The 23474-nt window shown below is 49.0% G+C and overlaps 1 protein-coding gene across 10 annotated transcripts in view, besides 3 other annotated features; it reads right to left on the minus strand.

Moving 5' to 3' along the window:
• The window catches only part of TRABD2B (TraB domain containing 2B), a 236858-nt gene that overhangs the window by 149242 nt on the left and 64142 nt on the right, over nucleotides 1–23474 (minus strand). The gene's annotated exons all lie outside the window — the stretch shown is intronic.
• Nucleotides 16941–17110: an enhancer, noted in NCBI's record as "experimental_8235 CRE fragment used in MPRA reporter constructs". NCBI's record gives its function as "activates a minimal promoter by MPRAs in K562 erythroleukemia cells, with activity observed for both the introgressed and non-introgressed 1:48392467 variant alleles {active_cell/tissue: K562}" and the evidence as "EXISTENCE:reporter gene assay evidence [ECO:0000049][PMID:34662402]".
• Nucleotides 17468–17762: a silencer, noted in NCBI's record as "tiled region #2886; K562 Repressive non-DNase unmatched - State 24:Quies". NCBI's record gives its function as "represses a minimal TATA promoter and a strong SV40 promoter by Sharpr-MPRA in K562 cells {active_cell/tissue: K562}" and the evidence as "EXISTENCE:reporter gene assay evidence [ECO:0000049][PMID:27701403]".
• Nucleotides 21343–21512: an enhancer, noted in NCBI's record as "experimental_8236 CRE fragment used in MPRA reporter constructs". NCBI's record gives its function as "activates a minimal promoter by MPRAs in K562 erythroleukemia cells, with activity observed for both the introgressed and non-introgressed 1:48396869 variant alleles {active_cell/tissue: K562}" and the evidence as "EXISTENCE:reporter gene assay evidence [ECO:0000049][PMID:34662402]".

A 23474-nucleotide genomic window follows, 5' to 3' on the forward strand; every position in this document is an offset into this window, starting at 1 on the left:
CCCTCCCCTCCCCTCCCCATCCCCCCCCCCCTTCCTCCCTTCCTTCCTTCCTTCCTTTCTTGCTTTCTTTCTTTCTTGTGGGTTGTATTTATGTACTTATTTTGAGACACTTTGGAACTGTTACCCAGGGGGGGGGCTGGAGCACAGTGGCACAATCATGGCTCACTGCAACCTCCACCTTGTGGGCTCAAGCAATCCTCCCACCTCAGCCTCCTGAGTAGCTGGGACTACAGGCACGTGCCACCACGCCTGGCTGATTTTTGTATTTTTTGTAGAGATGGGGTTTCGCCAAGTTGCCCAGGCTGGCCTTGACCTCCTGAGCTCAAGCAGTCAGCCTGCCTTGGCTTCCCAAAGTGCTGGGATTGTACGTGTGAGCTACTGTGCCTGGCAGGGATCATGTTTCAACATGAGATTTGGTGGGGACAAGCATCCAAACCATATCAGGAAGGTATTCTTACTACCTTCATCTTATAGGTGAGGAAACTGAGGTTTAGAGAGGTTAAATAAAGTGTCCAAGGTCAAAGGCTAGACAATAACTCCAATTCATCCTCTAGGACAGACTTCCCTAAAACCTGACTCCTCAGAAGGCCTTTCCTGACTACTCAGCCAGGATCAGGGACTCCTCCTGTCAGCTTTCACAGCTCTGTCTGTCCAGGATGGTCTGCTCATTATTTGCTGAACGGAAACAGTCACAATTAACCAACAAAGTTCTAGGATGGCCATGGGAAGTAGTGAGTACCTTGTCACTCAGAGAGTGGGAGAATGAGTTGGTGACCCTCAGTCACAGAGCCATGCAGTGGACCGGCACTGGGTAGATGTACCCTCCCCCATGGGAGTCCAGGACACTTCTTGAAGCTCAAAGCCCTAGAGTGTAGTAGTTAGAAAAAGCACAGACCTGTATGCTGTGCGTCCTGGGCCACGCCATTTCTCTCTCGGAGCCTGTGTCTTCCTCTATAAAACAGAGGTAAAATACCTATCCTCATATGGCATAGATTGCTCTTTTACCTGCATGTCGATTCTCTCCTTTTTCCATAGTAATAAAACTCCTCATTTTCATCTGGGCACATGGCCACCCAGAAGAGACCCCATTTCTCAGTCTCCTCTCACAGTTAAGTGTGGCCAAATGACCAAGTTGTGGCCAATGGCTCATGAGCAGGACCGACGGGTCTAATTCTGGGCTCTGCCTTTCTCCTTGCCCAAGGCTGGAATGGCCAGGCAGAGGATGGAGCCACCTTTGATCGGAGGCAATTCCTGGTGATGGTGGAGAAGCAGTGAAAGGAGCCTGAACCCTCCATAGCTTCCTGGAGCAGAGCGCCAGCCCCAGCCAGGATTTTTACATGGGGGAAAATAGAAATGTGTAATAGAAAGCCAGCCTACCTTTAGATTGAATCTGCATTCCTTCTAACAGCCTTATAGGGTAATTGTGACAATTAAATGAGATAATGCACATAAAGGGACACCTCAGCAGGGTGTAATGTGCAGATGGCATTCTGGTGGTTAAATTCATTGTTTCCAGTGAGCTGACCCTTGAGGACCCACTCTGCACAGGCCTGGGGAGACACCATGCCAAGACCAGTCTCCTCAGAAACTACTGGTGCAAGTTACAACCTTTTCCCCAGGCCTTTCCTATGACAGAAAGAGTAAGATGTGATAGAATGATAGAAAGACACAGACAGGAGGCAGCAAGTGACTTTCTCCTTAGATAAAGAACAGGCCGAAGAACTCCTGAGTCACAGAAGTGGCTGGACTGACTCAGGCTAATGCATCGTCTGTCAGTTCTGTAAGCGACACTCACCTTGCGAACACCACCCTCATGTGGACGGGTCCCTGGACATGGGTCCCACATGGTCCTGCTCCAGGAGGAGCTTATGGGCTATTGCGAGCCCCTTGTGTCCCCTATGGAGCCACAGCTCCAGAGCGCAGGCCCTCGTCTCCTCTATCCCTGTGTTGTCTCTATGCTTTCTATGCTGTCTGTCCACCAGGACGGGCTACATAATTTGCAAGGTCCAGTGCAAAAGGAAAATGAGGAGCTCCTTATTCATAAATCATTAAGAATTACATAACAGCAACAGCAGAAGATGAAATAAGCACAGGGACTTGTGTGACACGCAGGTTTCATGCCTGTGAAGGAAGCCCTGCCACACTGGGTGCCCCGTGCTCTGTGCCACACACAGTAGGCAGTCATGGAGTGAATGTAATCAGTGTGGATCACGCAACGCCCAAGTACTAAGGCTTCATCATCAAAGCAGTTGGGATGGATGTGGTTTTGTTTTTCTTTTTCCCAAGCCCAATTCTTTGCATCTCTTGGAGGAGGGGGCTGAGGGAGGCATGGGGATCAGAGGCCAGAGGTCAAATAGAAAACAAACTTCCCTGAATGACTGAGTGGGCAGGAGTGAGCAACAGGCATTTCTGAGCCGTTCTCCTTGTTTCTTGCCACAAGATATAAACTAATCTATTTAGTTAGAAAAACATGGTTTATTGCAATTGAAGTAATTTGTATTTCTTTTTCTACCACAAGATGTAAACTAATCTAGTTAGCTAGAGCAAGTTGGTTTAACTGAATTCAAAGTAATTACCTTCCAAAGCAAAGCAATGTGTGCGTTTTTTCAGTTTGTCTGGTTTTTAAATTTTTTTCCTTTCCAGTATTCAAAGGTTGAGACATATATGTACTTATGATTAAATAAAACCCAGCCGTCTTTTGGTTTTGGTTTGTTGGGACCTTGGCCTTTCTGGAGGGTCTCAGCCTCCATCCCACCACCTGGGATTTCCCAAAAATGTGCTGGAGGTGGCATGGAAAATCCAGTATGTGTTCTAGTGGAAAAACAATTTGTAACAACATTTCCTGGAGTGGTGGAGTTTTAACTCATTGAGAGGATATTTACCATATGCTGGGAGGGCTTAGAGAGGGCAGCCCAGTGCTGGGGAGACACTGGGCTTCGTCTCGGTCACCTCAGGTTGGGGGTCCTCCGGGGCGGCCCTTCTGTGTATGCTCAGCCTTGTGAGACAAGGGACACTCACTCTTCTCAGGCCCACCTCGTCCCAGGAGCTGGCAAGGAAGCATCTCACTCTCCCTAGTCATTACCATCTCCAGGGCATGGGGGAAGCCTGAGGCTCAGTGGGAAGAAAGGACCTGTGGTGGCCACAGTTCTAGGAAGCAGCACAGGCCGCCCCTAGCACTCCTAATCCGGAACCCCCTGTGCCTTCCACCAGAGGCCACAGCAGGTTACTGACTGATTTCAAGTGTCTGGGCAGCTCTTGGCTGTGAAAAGGTTCTTTTACTTCTTCAGTTCAGTTCCCCGACCAGGCCCAGCTCCATGCTCTGTAGCCCTCTCTTTAGCCTCCACTCCAGGGCAGCCCAACAGACTTTTGGGGAAAATGACTTTGTCCTTCCCAAGCTTCTCCTCTCCATGCTTAGCCCCAGTTCTTACAGTTCCTCGTAGCTCCCAGGTTCACTCTCACCACCTTCCTATAGATCGATCCACTCTCTCCTGAGCACTCATGGGCACTGGGTGCTGCCTTTTATCCAAACTGTCCTGGGGCTGGGAACGGGATTAGGCTGGAGCAAGCCAGTATGGTTTCCATGTTAGCTCTCTGCAAGCGGGATACTTGGGCGCGACCTAAGTGTGCTCTGCACCCATCAGAAACAACACCATTTCTGATGGCAGAGAGGCACCCAGTCGGTTCTAGGAAACCCAGCTCACTGTTTACCCAGTGCCTATTTTGCACTTTGTCCCCAGACAAAGGTGTCTGACCTTTCCTGCCTGGCTTTCTAAATGATACTTTTGAATGGCTGCTTTGTTGTCCCTTGAGGTCCCAGCACATACCCAAGACAGGAATGCATGCAGCGGTCAGCACCCCATGAATACGAACCGCTATGAAAGCAGTCCGGGGCAGCATGGAGTTCCTGCTTCCCTCTTCCCTTCCTTTCCTACCTCATCATGCTGCCATCATCTGGCTCCAAGAGAAGAGCAGCCATGTCCTTTCTAGTTGAAAACATCAGGAAAAGTACAATAAACAATTAAATAAAGAAACTTAAGGCAAGGAGGGGAAAGAGCCTTCTATGTGCCTACACAGGAAAACTCATTTCTTTTAATCCTCCTATCAACTCCTAATGAGGGGTACTATTGCTGCCATTTTATAGATGAGAAAACTAAGGCATGGTTGATTAATTTGCCTAAGTTCAGCAACCGAATAAATGGCAGAGTCAGGCTGGGGCCTGTGTCATTGGCTTCTACAGCCCAAACATGGCGCCTGCCTTGGTAAAGTGCTGGAACTGCTCACTCTGTCGCAGCTTCTCGAATTCTTTGTAGACTTCCAATGTTCCCAAACACACCATAAGGCAAAGCCTGGATAACTGGAAATGGGGGCAAATTATCCACCTTTGAAATCAATTCCAGCACCTGGCAGGTGACGTCGTGAGCCCCAGTCCCAAAGATTACAAATACCTTCCTTTGCAGTTGCCTTGGTAAAATGACCCCTGGTTGAGAACTAGCCCAGGGAATGCAAGCATTGCGCAGACACAAGAGTAGCAGGAAGAGAGGTGTCTGACCTGAAACCGCTCACAAGCACAAGTGTTTTTCTTAGGGAGTTTCCTCCCCCTCAGCTATTTCAGGCTACCGTCCTGGTGACCTGGACAGATTCCGCGGTGCCCGCTGTGGGAAGAGCGGGGAGCTCCTTGGTGACAGGGAGGGAGCCAGAGCAATGTAGGGAGGGGCTGCTGGAATGAATGGAGTGAGGGCCCACAGCCAGCTCATCTGCCCAGGGGCAGTTTTAGCAGCAGTGTGCAATTGGATAACTGAAATCTGGGGTGAGTGCTGGTACACAAGGAGTGGCTTCCAATACAAATAGAGAAGACTACGCCAGCGCCCACTGTGCCTCTTTCCCTCCATTGCCAAATCTTCCGGGGTGTCTGGACCCGGCCCCCTCCATAGAAAGAGCTGGTCCATTGGCACTGCTCAGAAGGCCTGAGTCAGCAGAATCGGAACCAGGTCTTGGTAGAGGATGGAGATGGAGTTATCCTTTCTGCAAGGGCCAGGGAATGAGCAGAGCTTACCTGAGCCCTTCACTTATTCATCCAAAGGCACTGGCTTTAGGCTGAATGCTGGGGGGGCAAGGATGAACCAGATAGACACAGTCCTCTGTGGCCCGTGCTCTGGGTATAGACCTGGTTAGATGTCCCTGCCTTGCAGGAGCTCAGTCATGGGGAAGACAGACATGAAAGCAGCCCACTTCAGTACAGCGAGACAAATGCCATGAGGCAGATTCATTAACAAGGAGCAGAGGCACCTGAAGCATAAGGAGGGTCTTGCTCACTGGTGTATTCCAAGTATTTGCAACAGGGCCTGGCACACAGTAGGGGTGCAGTTAGCACATCTTGTTACTGCAAGGAATGAGGAGATTAGGTCGAGGCATTCTGGGCAGATGGAACATCATGCACAAAAGCAGGGAGGTGCAAGAGAGGGGTGACCTATGCAGGAGACTAGAAGCAACTCCAGAGAGCATTGCCTCGGTAGGCAACAGTAGAATGGAGGCTACAGACTCTTCTCAAAGGCCTCTGAAGTTGGGAATACCTTGCTGAAGTTCACGCAGTCTTTCAGCGATGGATTTCAGAGCCAGAGGCACGGGGACTTACACTTAACAAGTGTATTACACCCAGGCCCTACATTGGATCATTACCATTTGCATGTGTATACGCTGCCTGGCCCAGTCCCATCCCACTAACAGGCTGTGAGAGTCTTTACTGACCCATTTTACAGATGAGTAAAGTAAAGTTCCAAGAGGAAAATAGGTGCCTAGGTTCACACAGCTTATAAGAGGCCAGGCAGGGATTCAAAGCCGGTGATTTAGGACATTCCATGTTCCCACACTCCCTGGAGTGCAGCTTAAATCTGAGATGGTGAGGTAGGAACAAGGGCCAGGTCTTTGTGTCCAGCTGTTCATACAGAACCAGAACTCCCTGGCTCCTCTCGCCTTTGGGGGATGTGCTGTCAGTCACAGCCTCCTGTCACAGGGCATGAGGTGGCTGCTGCTCCCTGTGCCGGACCCTGGGAGCTGAACATGCAGGGTAAGCCCTGTCGTGCCCCCACGCTCCCCTACCCCCACCAGGCGGTGACCCCAAGCTGCTGCGTAGCCATGGCTGACAGGTCTCCGGGAGACACCTGTTTTTCATTGCTGGCCCCTGTGGCTCTCTGGCAGTGACTGTGTTTGTTTTGGGGAGGAGGGTGCAGGCTGGGAGGAAAAAGCCTTTTCTGCAGGTCTGCAAGGACCTGGGGTTGCTGAGGACGCCGCAGACAGCCCTAAAGGGGACAAGAGAGGGGAAGGCACCTCTGGAGCAGCAGTGGACAATGGCTGCTCGCCTGCTCCTCACTCCTCACTAGCTGGGCGGGGGGCGGGGTTTGAGGGGGAAATGCAGTCTCAGCAGCAGACGGAGATGAAATCTGCTGAGGCCCAGCCCTTACAGAAGCCTCCCCTGCTTCACCACCTCCCCTTGCAGCTGTTCACTCATTGGTTCATCCATTCATTCAACACTCCAACATCCACTAAGGAGTCCACTACTGTTGGGAGCCCTGGAAGCACAAAGATGGATCAAACATGCCCCTGGCATCAAGGGACTTCCAGACAGGTGGGGGAACACTGAAGGAGGGGACCAGGCGTGGGATGAGCACTGTGACTGAGGGCAGCAGCAGAGGGCTGGGTGAGGCATGCAGGGCTGGAACAGCTAATTACTGGGGACCAGGTCAGTCAAGGAAGGCTTCCAGGAAGAGGAAGCACTTTGCCAAATCTTGGAGGTCAAGTACAGGTGGAGGAAAGTAAGAAATAACATCTCACAGAGGGTGACGAAATGGAAGCAGGAGAAATTTCTGCACATTGGCTGAATGACAAGAAAATCCACACAGGTGGAGAAGGGCCCATTAGGGAAGCTGCAGGACATGGGCCAGCAGTGGGCAGGGTCAGACTGGGGGGGCTTGCACCCCCTCTTCTAACGCCTTCCCACCTGGCTCTTCTCCTTCTCTATTCAAACCCACTTCACAGTTGCCTTCTCTTGTCTCTTTTCTTCTCCCCATTCTGTTTCACACCCTCCCCAGTGTATGAACTGACTGTGATCCTGAGAGGCACAGTCGAGAAAGCTCCAACTATGTCTCAGGCACTAGCCAAAGCACTGTACACAGTTTAACGTTTGCACTTAAAACTGTTCTATGAAGCAGGTACTGTTTTCCCGTCTTGCAGATGAGAAAACAGACCCTGAGAGGTTAAGTGATTTGTTCAAGACCACGCACAGCTCCTGCAGAGCAGGGTCAGAGACGCATCCAGACCCAACAGATGGTGTTCAGGTGTCATGGACCAAGTCCAGCACGCAAGGACGGGCTCCAGGACTCCCCTGGAAGTTGGTGGGCCACAGAGGTGAGAAGAGAGAGTTCCACAGGCCCTGGGCAGGCAGTCCAGATAGGCCAGGAACCCCGGAAACCCTTAGAAAGTGAGTCTGAAATGCTGGGTGCTGAAGTCCAGGATGCTCCACTGAGATTCTAGCCTATCTTTCCTGCCACAGTGAATATCCATTCCCTCATATCTGCGGATGGGTGGGCGTCAGGCAGCAGGCTGAGAGGCTATTACCTCTGTCACTCATGGGACACTCCTCCCAAGTTCTAATGGGCTAGAAACCAGAGTTCTTGGCCAGGTGCAGTGGCTCACGCCTGTAATCCCAACACTCTGAGAGGCCAAGGTGGGAGGATTGCTTGAGCCCAGGAGTTTGAGACTAGCCTGGGCAATATAGTAAGGCCTTGTGTCTATAAAAAATAAAATAAAAAAAAAAAGCCAAGCATGGTGGCATGTGCCATGTGCCTGTGGTCCCAGCTACTTGGGAGGCTGAGGTGGGAGGATCCCTTGAGTCCAGGAGTTTGAGGCTGTAGTGAGCTATGATTGCACCACTGCACTTCAGCATAGGTGACAGAGTGAGACACTGTCTCAAAAAAGAAAAGAAAAAAAAAAGAGCAAGAGAAACTAGTGTTCTCACCTCCCTCTTGTCTTTTCCTGAACAAATACTCCCGGATTCTTTATGATCTATGACATGCATGTTGGCCCGCAGGCGTGTGCTGCTGGGGAAGGGCTTTAGACTCAGGTTGGCTGGGTTTGGTTGGTTGTTTTCATGAAGAAGTGCTCTTTCCCATTACAAAGCCTCTTAACATGTGCTGTCCTGTCTCATTCTTGCAACAGTTATTATTCCCATTTTGCATTTGGAAGAGCTGAAGGTCAGAATAAAGTAATCTAGCAGTCAGAGGTGCTACCTGGATTTAGAAAAGAAAGCCTCCTATGTACTCTGCTTTTAAGGCCCAGTCAGAACATCACCTTCACTCTACAGCCTGCTGTGGTTCCTTGAAGTGCCCTGAGTGGACCTGAGACCCTGGCAGTACCACACTGCATGGAAGGCAAGGGTTCACCTGTCTGTCTCCGTGGCTGGGCTGTGAATGCTTTATGTGTCTGCATAGCCAGCTCCTTTCTGGCAGTCCTGCACATGGCAACTGTGCTACAACTGTGTAGCAAGTAGATGAATAGGAAAACATTAGCCACCATATTTGGAGAACAGACTGTCTGTCAACAATGGTGACACAGAGAATGTGACCCACCCTCCGAGTTACATGCTATTAGCCACATTTTACAGAGAAGAGAACAGGCTCAGAGGGACCTGTCCAAGATCACATAGCTAGTACGCAGCACGGCAGAATCTGAATCCATGTCTATCTGATTCCAAACACAGTGGCCTTCACTGCTCTCCTGCCCATAAAGAAATTCTTGTTGAGTTTATGAATACCCCCTCCCTCCTTCTCTTCCTTTCCTCCAACTCAGGCAAGCAGGGGTAGAGGAGACCACGTGGAACTGTGCACCCAGATAATAATCAGGAAGCCTGGCCATAAGCCAAGACGGGGACGGAAAGAAAGGACTCCAAGCTCTTCCTGCCCAGCCAGACTCATACCATTCTATGCCTCCATGCAGACTGGGGAAAATCAGCGACCAAGGTCCAGAGTCAGGGCTAGAGGTAAACATATCCAAGAACTCGATCTGAGCCACAGTCTGGGCTGTGGTTCCTTCTGCCTAGGCTGACCAAAAGCCAAGGGATTTGGGAAGCTCAGCTCTAAGTGGCCCCAGAAAACCACATCAGGAGCTAACAGATGTTCCTTCCTCCTCTCTCACCTGGACAATCCTTGCTCATTCTTACAGGCCCTGTTGGGATGTCACTCCTCTGAGGTGTCTCCTTGGAGCTTAGTCACTCCCTCTTGGGCTCCCGCGGTCCGCCAAGCTGCCTACTGTACAATCATTGTGTGTTGTGGTCATCTGCTTTATTATAGGTCTCCCCAGTTCGTGCAGGCAGAGTGCTCTGTGCTTGTTAAATGAGTAAAGGAATAAATGGGTCAGTGAATAAGTGAATGAATAGACAATTATCTGAACAAATGAAAAGGGAAGTAAATAAATGTACAGATGGGAAAATAAAAGAGAGTGAATGGAGTAAGTGGTGGCTGGCTGGGCCAGTGAATGAACTGCATGCGCTCAGCCCTCCCCATGGTGAGCTATCCAAGGAGACTGAAACATCTCTTAGCCATAGAGGGCTCCAGAAATCTAAGGGGAGCCAAACAGCAAAGTCTATCTTAAAAGCTGCCTGGAGCTGTAGTACTATCCCTGTTGGGGGTAACAGGAAGCAGAGAGGAGCTTCCTGCCTTCAAATCTCTCCAAGGGAAGCTGGAAAAAGCAGCTCCGCTGCTGGTTGGGTTCCACCTTATCTGCTGGCTGACTGTGGGGAAATCAGCACCTCTTTATGGACTTTGGTCTCCCCATCTGTAAAATGAGAGGATTGGACTGGACTAGACAGTTTGTGAGGACCATCTAGTGGAGCAATGCACAGGGCAAGAGTTCTAAGGAGGACATCACTCAAGGGAAGAGAACTTGCATGCCCATGTCAGTTCCTGTGCCTGAGCTGGGTCACTGCTCCAGTCAGCTCCTGTCATGCCCTTCCAACAAGGCATGCTAAGTGCACAGCACTGCATGTCAAGTGCTCAGAAGGAGGGATATGGTAGGGCTTCCTGGAGAGGGGGGTGCTGGTGCTGGGGCAGGAAAGAGAGGGAGGATGTAAATAGGAGGAGAGGGGTTGAGAGGGCTCCTGGATGTCGCACTGAGCATTAGTGATTGTTCCTTTAGGTAATGGGACAGGAGATGAAAGAGATCTGGGAACAGACCTGCCTCAGCTTCCTGTACAGACTTTACACAGAAAGCTCAATTACCTTTGGAGACATTGGTCTGCTACTTTCTAGTTGTGTGTGAGACTTTGGTACATGTATAGTAAGATGAGACTCATTATGGCACCTGTATCATAGGGTTTTCCTGAGGATCGAGTGGTGGATGATGCCCAGTGCCTGGCAGAGTACTCAGTGGCTCTGTGAATCAGAGGCAGGTGTTATAATTATTCTTGTACAGTGAAGGCAGTGAAATTCAGAGAGGGGAAGTGATGTGCCCAAAGTCACATAGCAAGTCAACCCTAGATTTCTGGATGTCCTGTCCCTGGCTTAATCCCCGTCAAATTAGAGGTCAAGAGGGCTATAGGTTTAAGACCATGGCCTCTCCTGTCCTCAAAATGATGCATGACCTAGACCATGTGACTCTGAATCAGAGCACTTTCCATCCAAAAGAGTATTTCCCCATTCAAGGTGGCCCTGGGGAGGCTGGGTGTTTTCCCCTGGGGGCAGCCCCACTGGCTCTGCCCTGGGTTGCTGCCTCTTTGGAAGCCACTCTGGAAGCTGAAAAGCATTCTTTAGCATGGCTCTGAAGTGGGGAAACCTTGGTCTTCTGAGCTGGAAGCAGCCAAGATGTGCAGTCAAAACTCAGAGAAAAATGGAATTTAGCCACTGGTCAAAGGTCCCTGGCAGTGCCTGTCCCCTATCCTGAGCTGTAACTCCCTGCAGGGCAGAGACCCTCTTTTCCTTATTGGTGTTTCTACAGTGCTGAGCACAGGGTTGCGTGCTTAACAGGTACTTCAGGATGAATGAATGAATGACACTATGGGAGATCTGGAGGACCTCTTAGACATCATGTGGTCTATCTCTTGTACTTTATGAATGGCCTGGCAAGGGGAAGGGGCTTTCTCAAGGTCATACAGTCAGTGATGCACACAGAACTGCAATCCACCCTCTTGGACTCCTCTCGGACTATAGTGTTCCTTCTGCTGCACAACTGCCTTAACTATGGAACTACCCATTTTATTAAAGGAATTTAGAAACACCTTTGAGGTTTGCACTCTCAACTTGCTGCACCATACTTGGCCTAGACACACACTCACTAAATGTTTGTCAAACTGGACCACAGAATTTGATCTGTGCTTGGTGCTCACTGAAACCTTTCCCTGCCACATCTGCACCCTTGGTGGTCTCTTCCCAATTTCAGACTCCTTAGGAATGACAGGTCACGGTAGACCAACTGCTGGGTCAGAATGACCTGTGAATTTCCAGAAGTGGAGACGTTTTCTGGGCTGGAGATGATGATCTCCAAAGACACAAATATGCAAGTTGCCTCCGCTGCCAGGGCCAGCAGCTAAGAAAGACAAGTCCCAAGGTGGGGCTGGCGGGCAGAGCAGAAGCTTCCCAGGTCCTTTCCAGATTCCTTCCAACAACCATCAGACTTCCAAAGGGTCTCCAGACTGTGACACACACAACTTTCATGACAAGAGAGGAAAAATGAAGTCACTGTTTCCCTCCAGGCATCCCAGATGTCTCTCTCTTCCCACCCACCTATGTGACAGTGTCTCTGCTGTATTTTAGAACTGGATTATTCTATGTTTGTATTTTTGTTGTATGTTGCAAAAATGCTTCTGAGAATCTGATAATGCAGGGCTCAGCAAAGCCAACTGTCTCTAAAACCCTCTTTGGCTTCACGAACTTTTATTTACAAAGCACCTACTATGGATGTGTGCTATGTGTGCGATGGAGTGTGCTAGAAATTCTGATGCAATGCCAGGAGACTCTGGCCGTCACCCTTGCAACCTCGGCATCTAATAAAGGACCCTGAATCCAAATACATAGTAGTCACTGAATAAGTGACTGTAAAGAAAATTAGGGGATCTGATATGTATTGAGTACCTAATATAGGCTAGAGTCTATACAAGCTCACTAATCCATACCTCAACTAGAAAAGTAGGTCTGTGATCCCCAGTTGACAAGTAAGGAAACATGTTCAGAGAGGGAAAGTAAGCTGTCCATGGTCACACAGCTAATGAGAGGCAGAACTGGGGTGCAGGCTCAGGGCTGTCCATCTGCAAAGCCCACGCCATTTCTGCCATCTGTGCTGCTGCAGTCCTCCAGGTCTCTGTTTAGCCAGCGGGATGATTAATATCTACACTCTCTCATCTGGTTCCCTAGATAAGCAGCAGTGTGAGCTGGCCTGGGGGAGAGGGATCCACGCTGTGGCTAACATGTACCTAGCCTACTGCCATGGAGAGTGGTTACTTGCTATCTCTACCAAGAATAACAGAATCAACAAGCCTTGGCCCAGGCTCCACAAGAGGCCAAGAGCACGACTGAGTGGGTGACCAGGGTCAGGGCCTGGTCAGAGGCCAGGTAGGAATCACTGGGGCCAGGTCAGGGCTGAAGCTTGTGGTCAAGGACTCTGAGTGGTCAAGGTGGATCATAACACAGAGTCTAAACCTTGGCTTCATCAGCCCACACAGAATCTAGCACAATTAAAGAAAACCAGCCAGAAAGATGCCAGGGGTGGAGTTGCACAGGCCTGGGCTGCACTCTGGCTTCGCCTGCCACTGGCTGGGTAAGTATGGGCATCTCCCTGGGTCTCTCTGAGCCTCAGCTGTCATCTATAAAATAAGATAATGATATGCACCTTTGATTCCTTCCTTTCCTCACCTCCCAGATCCGATCACACACAATGCTCTGTTGATTCCACCTCCTCAATGCACTCAAATCTGTCCTCTTCTGTTCATCTCCACAGCACTTCTTCCCCTGGAAATCTAGACTTATTTCCTAAGTTTCCACATCTACTCCGACCTCCCTCTAGGCCATTCTCTGCAGTCCACTGATGGTGTGCTTTTCAAAAGAACAAATCTTCTCATGGGACTCCCCTGTTTAAAACCCTTCAAGGGTCCCTAGTGCCCTTCAGCTAAAGTGAAAGATCCTGAATGGCCTTATAAAGCTCAGGGTCTGGCCTCGGCCTTCCTCTCTGTCTCAAAGAGGACCTCCCTTCCTTGTGCACTGCAAGGCATGTACACAGCTGCTTCCCTCTGAGCCTCAAATGCGCCAAGGCCTTTCCCACCTTAGGTCTTCACACTCGTGGTTCCTTGGCCTGAAACCTTCCTCTTCACCACCTTCCCCTGCCCAACCTGCTCAGCCTTCAGGTTTCAGCCTGAGTGTCACCTCCTCAGAGGAGCCCCCTCCGGCCTTGGTCTCAGGCCACGCCCCATGCCAGTCATTCTTACATGCTCTGTACTCCTCCTTCTCTGAGGGATTCATCACCCTGGTAATTAGACAGTAATGCATTCAGGCAATTACTTGTTCAAGATGAGTCTCACCACTGGATTCTCAAGAGGGCAAGGAATGGGTGTGACTTGGTGGACGCAGTATCTTCAGCACCTAACTGTGCCTGGCATAAAGTCAAGGTTCCATGCAGCCAATTTACAGGATGAATCAATGAACCCTGCCCATCCCTGACCACTGCACAGGCTGCTAGAGGATCTTGGGAAAGGATGGCTGAGAAAGGGATTTTTCATCATAACTGGCTCTTTAGATGTGGATGATGGTTAATTTTATGTGTCAACTTGGCTGGGCCATGGTATCCAGATATTTGGTCAGACATTATTCTAGATGTTTCTGTGAAGATATCTCTTTAGATGGGGTGAATATTTAAATCAGTAGACTTTGAGTAAAGCAGATTACTTCTATAACGTGGGTGGGCCTCATCCAATCAGTTGAAGGCTTTAAGAGAAAAAGCCTGACCTCCCTCAAGGGAGAGGGAATTCTGCCAGCAGATAACCTTGGACTCTTCCCTAGGTCTCCAGTCTGCTGGTCTACCCTGAAGACTGTGGACCTGCACCTTTAAAATCTTGTAAGCCAATTCCATAAAATCAATCTCTCTCTCTCACTCTCTACACACATACACACATACACACACACACACACACACACACACACACACACACACACACACACACACACACATCCTATTAGTTCTGTTTCTCTGGAGAACCCGACTTATGAAAGTGGCCTGAGATTTATGGTCTAGAATGTTTCCGGTCTTTATTCAGCCTTCAGTATCACTCAAAGGGGCAGCTGTAGAGCCTTGGGTCTGCATCTAGGATTCAAGGGGAAGTTTTCACTCTGCCACGGAATACGTGGGTGGCCTCCCCCATACCAGAGTCCCTGTCCAGGTTCCCACAGGTGGAAAGGGAGTCACAGTGAAATTTACCGGCTCAAGCATCTTGGCTGCTTCCAGGAACTGGACTCAGAAGACCAAGGTTTACCCCCTTCAGAACCATCTGAGGAATGAAACAGGCTCTCAGGCAGATCAAAGCAGAACACAGTACAGCAGTGCATTGTGAAATGAAAAGTACAACTTAGGGCTGAAAAGCTCTTCTCCCCAGCCTACACCTGATGCTCAGAACGTGGACTCCTACCCCGGTACATGGTCCCTTAAGGAATTCAAGCCAAGGCTGCTTTCTCTGAGAACAAGAGGAGCAGTGATTGGGTAACACTGAATGATGTAAGATGATCCTATTAGCTGGAACAGATGCACCCAGCCCTTTCTGTCCCCTGTCTAGTTCCCACCTTCTCAGACTTGACCCCCAGCTGTGGAGGGTGCCAACAGAACCCAGGGTAGACTGCTGGACAAACGACGTGGCATTTTCAAAGCAGTAATTTTGCCTGCTCTTAGCCTGAAAGAGGAGTGGAAGTAAGCAAGCAGAGGACACATAAGTTCAAAACCTCTTCCCACCACTCTGCTTGCAGTCACTTCTCTCAGTGAAAGAAACTTCCTCTGGGGCCATCTAGGGCAGAGGACCGGTGCTCCCGCTGGCCTGCCTGGGGATGGGAAAGGTGCAGGGAGCTATCCCTCACCCTTTCTTAGTCATGGTCCCTTAGTGACTAAGAACCTACTCCTGTGAAAAGGGCAAGTCTCTGTCTGCAACCAGAGGCAGCGCTTGGCTCAGTGTGGGGCCAGGGTCAACTGTTAGGCTGTGACCCCCAATGGCTTTGATTCCTGGGAAGTCACCTAGCCCAGAAAGTAACTGAATCTTTCTCTTAATATTTCCAGCAAACTGATCAAGCCTTTTTGAAACTCAGTCCAGAGATCTCACCTTCTCTACCTCCTAAGGTAGGATAGAAACTCTCATGATTCCAGTTTGATTAGTTTGACTTCCAGTCCTTCTTGTTACTCTCCCTCAAAACATCCCTATCCCATCCTCTGGTGTCCTTACACAGTTTCATGAGGATCTTATAGAAAATAGACTTTAAAAACATATTAGCACTTCTCAGAGCCTTTTATCCTTCATAAACAAAGAATTCAAAAAGTATTAAGGAATTAAATTGAAAAAAGAAAGCAAAGAACAAGGATATGAAAGAAGATTTTTTTTATTTTATACTGAAAATAATTCCGATTAAGATTTTACTTCACGAGATTCAAGAACTGACCTCCAAAGAAATGGGAAAAAAAATCTCTGCAGTGTAATAGCAACAGCAAGTAACATTTACTGAGAACTAATCACTTAGCAAGTTCTGTTTTATATACTTTCTTTCATTTAATCCTCACTAAGCTACTCAGTGAGGTAGTTTCTATTATCTCCATTTCACACAGTGCTGAAGATGCTGGAGCCTCATGCTCTGGTTTGGTTTAAATTAGATCTCAGAGGACACAGTTTGTCCTAAGGAGTAAGTGTTTCTCTCAGAGTTCAAGAGATGGAGCTTTTCTTTCTCTGAGCACTTACTACATGCCAAGCATAGGCTAAGCAGTTTACAAGCATTATTTTGTTGAATTCTTACATCCATTTACAAGTATCATTATCCTTTCTTACAGAGACAAGAAAGAAATGTCTGAAAAGTCTAAGCTGCCATGGTGCAGGAGGAGAGGGATTAAAGAAGAGGCTGGTATATATCTTCCTTTATTTATATCTTTATTTTCTTTCAATACATTTTGTAGTTCTAGGATAGAAGAATTATACCTCTTCTGTTCAACTTTTCCCTGTGTCATTCATATAAGTGTGATGCAAATGTTATAATCATTTAAATGTTATGCTCTATTTGTTTTTGATACGTAGAAATCTAATTGACTTTTACATGTGGACACAGTATCAAGTGACTTTGCTAAAGTCACTTGTTTATTCTTATAATTCGTTTTTGATATTTTAGGTAAATCATATGTTATCTACGAATAATAAAAAGGAATCATTCCTTCTCAAAAATAAAAAGAAGAAGAGGCTGGGTCCCTGCCCTCTCAACTTCTTACCATGTCACAGAGGAAAAGGCACCGAGGCCCAAGGATAAGACTGGGGAAGTAAAATCTCATACATACAGCAGCACGGCTCCAATAGTGCGTTCTATTGCACTGTAGATCTGCCCGGGCCAAGTCATGGCTCCTGGGGGCTCCTGGGGATGAGGTGTTCCCAGCATCTGGGGAGGAGGAAAGCATCCCAGAGGCTCTTGCTCCAGGAATGAGTGCTTGTGCTTCAACCCTACTTGATCTGCCAAGGCTCTCCCACTTTGCAGGACTGTTGGTCCTGGCTGTGCCAAGCACTCTGTCCTTTTAAAACCCCTCCCTTGGCATCCACCTAGACCACCTCCAGATCCTCCCATGCTGTGGGATAAGATCTGGCGGCAGGCCCTCTTCCTGTTGAGAAGGGCAGGCATTACTACCCAATAGTTGTGGGTACAGAGGGGTTGGAGAGAATGGGGAGGGTTGAGGATAGGGCATAGTTTCCAAACATTTTTTAGAGGAAGGAGGCCAAGAGGAATTCCCTGGGGCATGCAGCACCACAGACTGGTGCCAACTACTCAGCCCTACTCCCTTCCTCTCCAGCACACCCTTCCTGCCTTGCTTTAGAGAGCTCATCCTATAGTCTTTGCTAAGCGCTGACTGTGTATTCAGCTGAAGGATGCAGGTTCAGTATACATCCTAGTTCCCAGGTTCAAGAAGTAGGTTAAAAACAAGATCCACCCACAAACAAGTCCATGCAGCATACATCTATACACAGGCACTATGGTAGGCAAGTGCTGGATTGTATGACGCAGGCCAAGTTCAAAGAAAGGATTGATGGAGGTGAGTGGGAAAGCTGCCTTGAAGACCTTTGGAGGGTCTAGCAGGACTAAGATTGAGAATGGCACAAGATAAGAGATCATTCTTGGGAGGGGGACCTGCATGAGTGAAGGTGAGGACAGAGGCTAAGCTGGTCTTGGTGAAGGCCTGGCACAGTGGCCCCAGGGCTGGGTGTGCTGAGACCACCAGAGGTGCCGGGTGCAGCCTTCCTGCTCTGGCTGAGTCAGTCTTGCAGCCCCGTCTCCCTGACAATATGGTAAATACAGAGCCTATAAATCCAACTGCAAACATCCACTCTTCCGGTGCCTTCTCCCTTCCAAGCCAACAAGCCCAAAGCCATCCCATGGAACGTGAGCCTGCCAGTGCCAAGCACTACGGAGCTGGCTGCAGGCACGTGGACAGGCTTCTGGGCTGAAGCTGGCTCCTTCTCAGAGCACCTCCCTCCAGAGAGCCCAGGCCTGTCTCAGTCTAACCAGGCTGCAAGTGAGGGACAGACAGATGCTCCAGCAGCCACTAGCAGCAGAAAAACACTGAGGCCATAAAAAAACACTCCATGTTTGTCAGGAGGGTCCTCCCCATTAGGGGAAATATGGGGGCCATCCATTATGGGAGGTGCCTACTAAAGAGGCTGATCTCCAGTGTGCCAAGAAGAAGCTGTCAAAGGGGGAAAGGCACCCTGCAAGCGCTGTTCCTCTCTGAGCCTCTGATTCCTCATCTGCGAAATGGGAGACATTCTCCTTGCCCTGATCTTTGCATAGAAACTGAATGGAATGAAAAAGAATTGCAAGAATAATCTTCGCCTGAGCAAGACCTCTGCTTCTCTCCCCAACAAGAGTCAATCTTTCTGGATGGGGGACCCTTGGAGAGGGTTAAGCCCTTCGTATTCAAAGTGCAGTCTTGGACCAGAAGCATAAGCATCCCCTGGAAGCTTGTCAGAAATGCTGACTCTTGGGCCCTACACTAGAACTTCTGAATTGGAATCTGTATTTTAACAAGATCCTCAAGTGATCCGTGGGCACAGTAAAGTTTGAGAAGTATTGTTCTAGTCCATGGAACGTAACCCCTTCATGTTACCAGTGAAGAAGCTGAGACCCAGTAGAAATAAGTCACTTACAGGAAGCCACACAGTAAATAAGTGGTAGACATGGGCCCAAGTAGCAGTGCAGTGCAAAGGAAGAATCACAGGCCCTGAAATCAGAGCTACTTAGGTTCAAATCCTGCCTCTGCCATAACATACCCTATGGCCTAGGAAGAAAGCTAACTAATTTCTCTGAACTTTGGTTTTGCCACCTGTAAAATGGGTATAATAATAGCTATCTTTTAGGATTAATGATGAGGATTAAAATGAGATGATGCATCAGATGCCTTGCACTGCATGCATTTCATGTTTGATGTTCACAAGCTTTGCCTTCATCTGCACTCCACAACCTCTAAACTCCACACCCCATGATTATTGGGCCCAAGAATCTGTGAAAAGACTGCTTTTCTGCCTCCAACAATGCAGACACAGTTGCTGAGCTGAGAAGAAGGGAAAGAATAGGAAGAGATAGCAAGGCTCTTAAAGTCTAGACTGACTTATCCTTTAAATTCTGAAGAGTTCCCAGTCCAATCCTCTAGCAAAAAGTCAATCTGCAAACATCATCAGTTACTGTGGTACCTAAGTGTACTAGTACATAGCCCATGCTCAGTAAGATTGATGAATGCAGGACTGAAGGGTCCCTCAGGCCCTCACTCTGAGCTCTTTCAGGCTCACATCCCTCATTTTCACATGTCTGGATTCTGGTCATCCTTCAAGGCCCAGCCTAAACATCATGTCCTCTGAAAGTTCATGACTAGATCCCCTGTTGGAATTGATCTCCCAGGTAAAACCCTAACTGCTTTAACATAACTTACAAGACTATCTACCTCTCAGCCTTGCATTTTGACCCTAGATTAGACAATTTGCAGGTCTCTGGGCACAGATGCTTCTTGCCTCAAGGCCTTTACACATGCTGTTCCCTTTATCTGCAATACTCTTCTCGTAAAGCCCCCTCTATCTAATTCCTACCCAGCCTTTATGTCTCAGCCTAGATGTTAATTTAGACATACATTTTTCCTGCAGAACTGGGACTAGGATGAGGCAAGCAAGGCACCTGGAGCACAGAATTTACAGAGGTCCTGAGTCTCATGTGCCAACCCTGCACTTGTGTGACTTGAAGAGAGAGAGCCTCCTTAAATTTTGAGTCCTAGATGCCTCCTTTGCCTCTCCCTGGTCCTCTGGATGTTTCCTTGAATCCCCTGCTATTTTAGAGTCCCTGCTCTGTGCCATCCCCTGGTCATAGTCTTTACTTAAGAGGACTGTGATTGCCTGGGTGTTTATCAGTCCTCTCTCTGAACTGTTAAGCTCCAGAGCAAGAATACTTCTTCCTTGCTCCCCATTTCATTCTCAGAGCCTGGCAGAGGGCAGACATTGCATCAGCACTTGCTGGATGTGCATAAAAGTGTCATCTCCCTCATCCTGTGCTCTCAAATCCCACTGAAGGACCCAGTGTCCTAGCACCTACCAATCTCTGCCTTCTGATCCACAAAACTGCCCTCATCTGGCTAGACTGCACTCCCAGGGGTCGGCCTTCACTTTGCATGCTCAGAACCCAGCTCGGGACCTGGCAGAGTGGGTGCTCATGCGCATTTGCTGGGCAGGGTTAGCACTGGAGGAATGCTGTAACGATGGGCAATGCACACTAAACCTGGTGTGGACAACTCCAGCAACATCCTCATCTCCCTCTTCACCTCCAGGCTTTCCCTGCCCAGCTCCTCTTTAGCCAAATGGGCCTGTCAGAAACATCTAACTGTCTCTAGCTCCATGTCCTGAGCCAAATGCCCTTGCCCAGCCCCCCAATGCCCTGCTCTGGTATGAAAAGAGGTGGTTACGTGCATACCTGGCTCCCTACTTCTCCCACCTCCCTGCTCCACATACATACCAATTCTACTGTGATACACTGTGAGACCAACTCTCCCTCGTCTTTGGCTCCCCAGGCCCAGCCAGGGAGGTGCCCAGTTCTGGAGTGGAGGCTGTGGGGAACAGCACACCCTTCCCCTTCTCCCTGCCAAAAGGCAGATCCTGAGCCATGGTGCGCCAAGGTTTAGGGTCCAATTTCCCAGATGCCTTTCAGTGTCTGATAGGAGATGCCAGAGAAGAGAAAGACCAGGAGGCCAGGTGATTTATGAGGGAAATCTTGGCTTTGACAAAGCTTTAGCCCTAGAGATTAAGGCAGGCGAAAGCAGAGTGCACAGCCTCTTCCTGAGGGGTGTTGGGGTTTCTCTGGGCATCTGGATCTGGATCCCTGAGGATAGCGCTGAGCTCTTGGCTGACTCCAGCTACTCCTCAGCGCCACATCCTGGAGCAGAACAAGGCCCCTGGTGGCTTAGGAAGTGGGGAGAGAGGAGCTACGAGTCCGCGATAGTAAACCAGGCCTGCTCTGCCTGCCCTCCTCCCTGCTACTGCCCTGCAGAGGCTTCAAAGGACAGCAGGAGCCTCAGAACTGGCTGTGTGACAGGAGACACACACATACTTTGGCTTATAGTTGGCAACAAACAGGTGGAGACTAATTTTGCCTTCATCCTCTGGTCTCCTCTTCAAGGATCCCTTATCCCGAGAAAGAACATCTCAAGCCTGTGAATCACACAACTCCTCTCTCCCTCCCAGTGGCCTTCACCTCCAGGGCTCTCTGTGGTTAGAACATGCTCATGTCCCTCCCTTTACAGACAGGCAGACTGAGGCCCAGAAAGGAAAAGGGACTGACCCAGGGTCTCACCAGCAGCTTATGAGACGAGCTGGGACCCGACCCCACAGCTGTTGATTCTCCCTTGGTGCTCCCAAAGACCACCCCTTCCTGATGGGAGCAATGTAAAAACCGTGGCCACCTTCAATCTGTGACACTGACATTCCAGAATGTGGGCATCTGCTTACTTTATATATCCTGTGTCATTCACCAGAATATGGGCTCTGTGAGGGCTGAGACCTTTTCTGTATTATCGACTGCTCTATCCCCAGCACCTAAAACAGTTCCTGGCACATAGAAGAGATCAGAACAAATGGGTGAAGGAATAAATGAATGAGCTAACGAATGAATGATTATGTGTAGAATAGGCCACTTGTCCTGTACAGGCTTTAGGATTCCTTCTTTTTTAAAAAAGTGAGTTGATTATTCTTGCTTCAGCTTTGGAGTCCTAGATTGTTCTAGAGCAGGAAGAACTTTAGAGAGCCTCTAATGCAGGCCCATGAAGGTATAGCCAGATCTTTCTCTTTTCGCCACCAGCAGCCATACCCCACCTTATGTTTTCTCCATCTGGACACGTGTGCTGAGAAGACCTTTGGCAGGGGGTCTATGTCCCCACTCCTCAGATCTTGGTGGGTTCTGCAACTACTTTGACTGAGACATCAGGCAGAAGTGATGCTGTGCCTGTTTTCTGGCCCAGGACTCAGTAACACTGGCCGTTCCCACTTCCTGTCTCCTGGCATACATGCATGGGTTCCTGAGGTGCCACGTGAGAAGTTCAACTATGCTTCTGGAGACACCACGTGGGGAGGGCAAGTATCGCAGCTGCCATCTCCCAGCCATACCTGCCTTCTAGAGGGAAGCTTCTAGAACTCATCACACCAGCCCAGTTGCCTGCCTAATACCCGAGTGAACTCTCAGGATGCTACAGACAGCAAAATGGCCCAGCTGCTCCCTGTCCAAGTCCTGATCCCATGGATCAAGAGCACAATAAAAGTACTGTGAAGTCACTAAGCCTAGGGTGGTTTGTCACACGGCAATAGATAACCCCAACATCCAAGTAGTAACAAGTGCTGTGAGGGAAATAAAGCAGAGGAAAGGGACAAAGAGTAACAGGGCTGTACCTCTCTGAGAATGTCTCTGAGAATATGATATTTGATCACAGGACTTAACGGAGGGTTTTGGGCCTGAATCATTCACTGAGATGAAGTCCTGGGGAGGAGGAGTTTGAGAGGTGAAGGAAGAGTACCTGAAATCAAGAGTTCTTTTATGAACATGTTAAATTTAAGATGCCTGGTGCACATCCAAGAAGAGTTGCAGAGTGAACACTTGGAGACTAGTCTAGAGCTTTAGGGTAGAGACTGCTCCAATTTTAAGACCTCTACATGATGTAAGACCATCCATGAGGTAAACAACAGCATCAGTGGAATGCCAACATGGATTCAAGGCCATGGAGCTGGGTGGGATTCCCTGGAGTATAGCTACAGAAGGTGCACCAAGGAGAGGACCAAATGGCTGACCAATGGATTGAACAAAAGTGGTGGCAAAGCAGAAGTGAGGATGAAATAGTGATAAGGATTGGATTGAGAAGACAATGGAAGGCAGTGAGGACAGACGTCCGTGGAGGAGCTGAGTTATAATGGGAAACTGAGAAATAAGGCAGGAGCTGAGGAGGGATGTGGAGTCAAGGGAGTTGTTTCTAGATGGGAGATCCTATAGCATGTGTGTCTCCTGAGTGATCAGGAGAGAGTGAGAAATTGATGCAGGGAAGAGAAGGGATAAGCACAGGAGCAAAAATTCGTGCAACAGGAGAAGGAACTTGTGATTAAGGAAGCAAGTGAACAAGCGGGTGTAATTTATCCACAAGAACAGCCATAACATGGCAGAGCCTTGGGTTCTCAAAGAGGAGAAGCCACAGGTAACAGTCCCAGCCCCACTATTTAATGGCTGGTTGACTCTGCGCAAGTCACTTCTTCCTCATCTGAACATGGGGATTAATGATCCCTAACTCACAGGGCTGTCAGGAGGATCATAGATACTGACAGTTGTCAAGTGACTAGTTCAAAGAACGGGTGGCTCTTACAGCAGTTGATACTGGGGTTCTTGGTCCCAGAACGTGAGCTTGGGTCATGTGATCTGCTTTGTCATGCAGCAAACCTCTTTGAGTCTGAGCTTTGTAATTCAGCACTAGCACAGGGCAAAGGACATGAGTGGCAATGAGCAGACCAGGAATTGAACTCAGTCTCCCATCTCCTTGGCGTTCAGAGCCCTCCGTGAGCCCCCATCTCCTGTCATTTTTTTTTTTTTTTTGAGACGCAGTCTCACTTTGTTGTCCAGGCTGGCATGCAGTGGTGCAATCTTGGCTCACTGCAAGCTCTGCCTCCTGAGTTCACGCCATTCTCCTGCCTCAGCCTCCTGAGTAGCTGGGAC

The sequence above is a fragment of the Homo sapiens genome, chromosome 1 (genome assembly GCF_000001405.40).
Source record: "Homo sapiens chromosome 1, GRCh38.p14 Primary Assembly".
NCBI classification, from domain to species: Eukaryota; Metazoa; Chordata; class Mammalia; order Primates; family Hominidae; genus Homo; species Homo sapiens.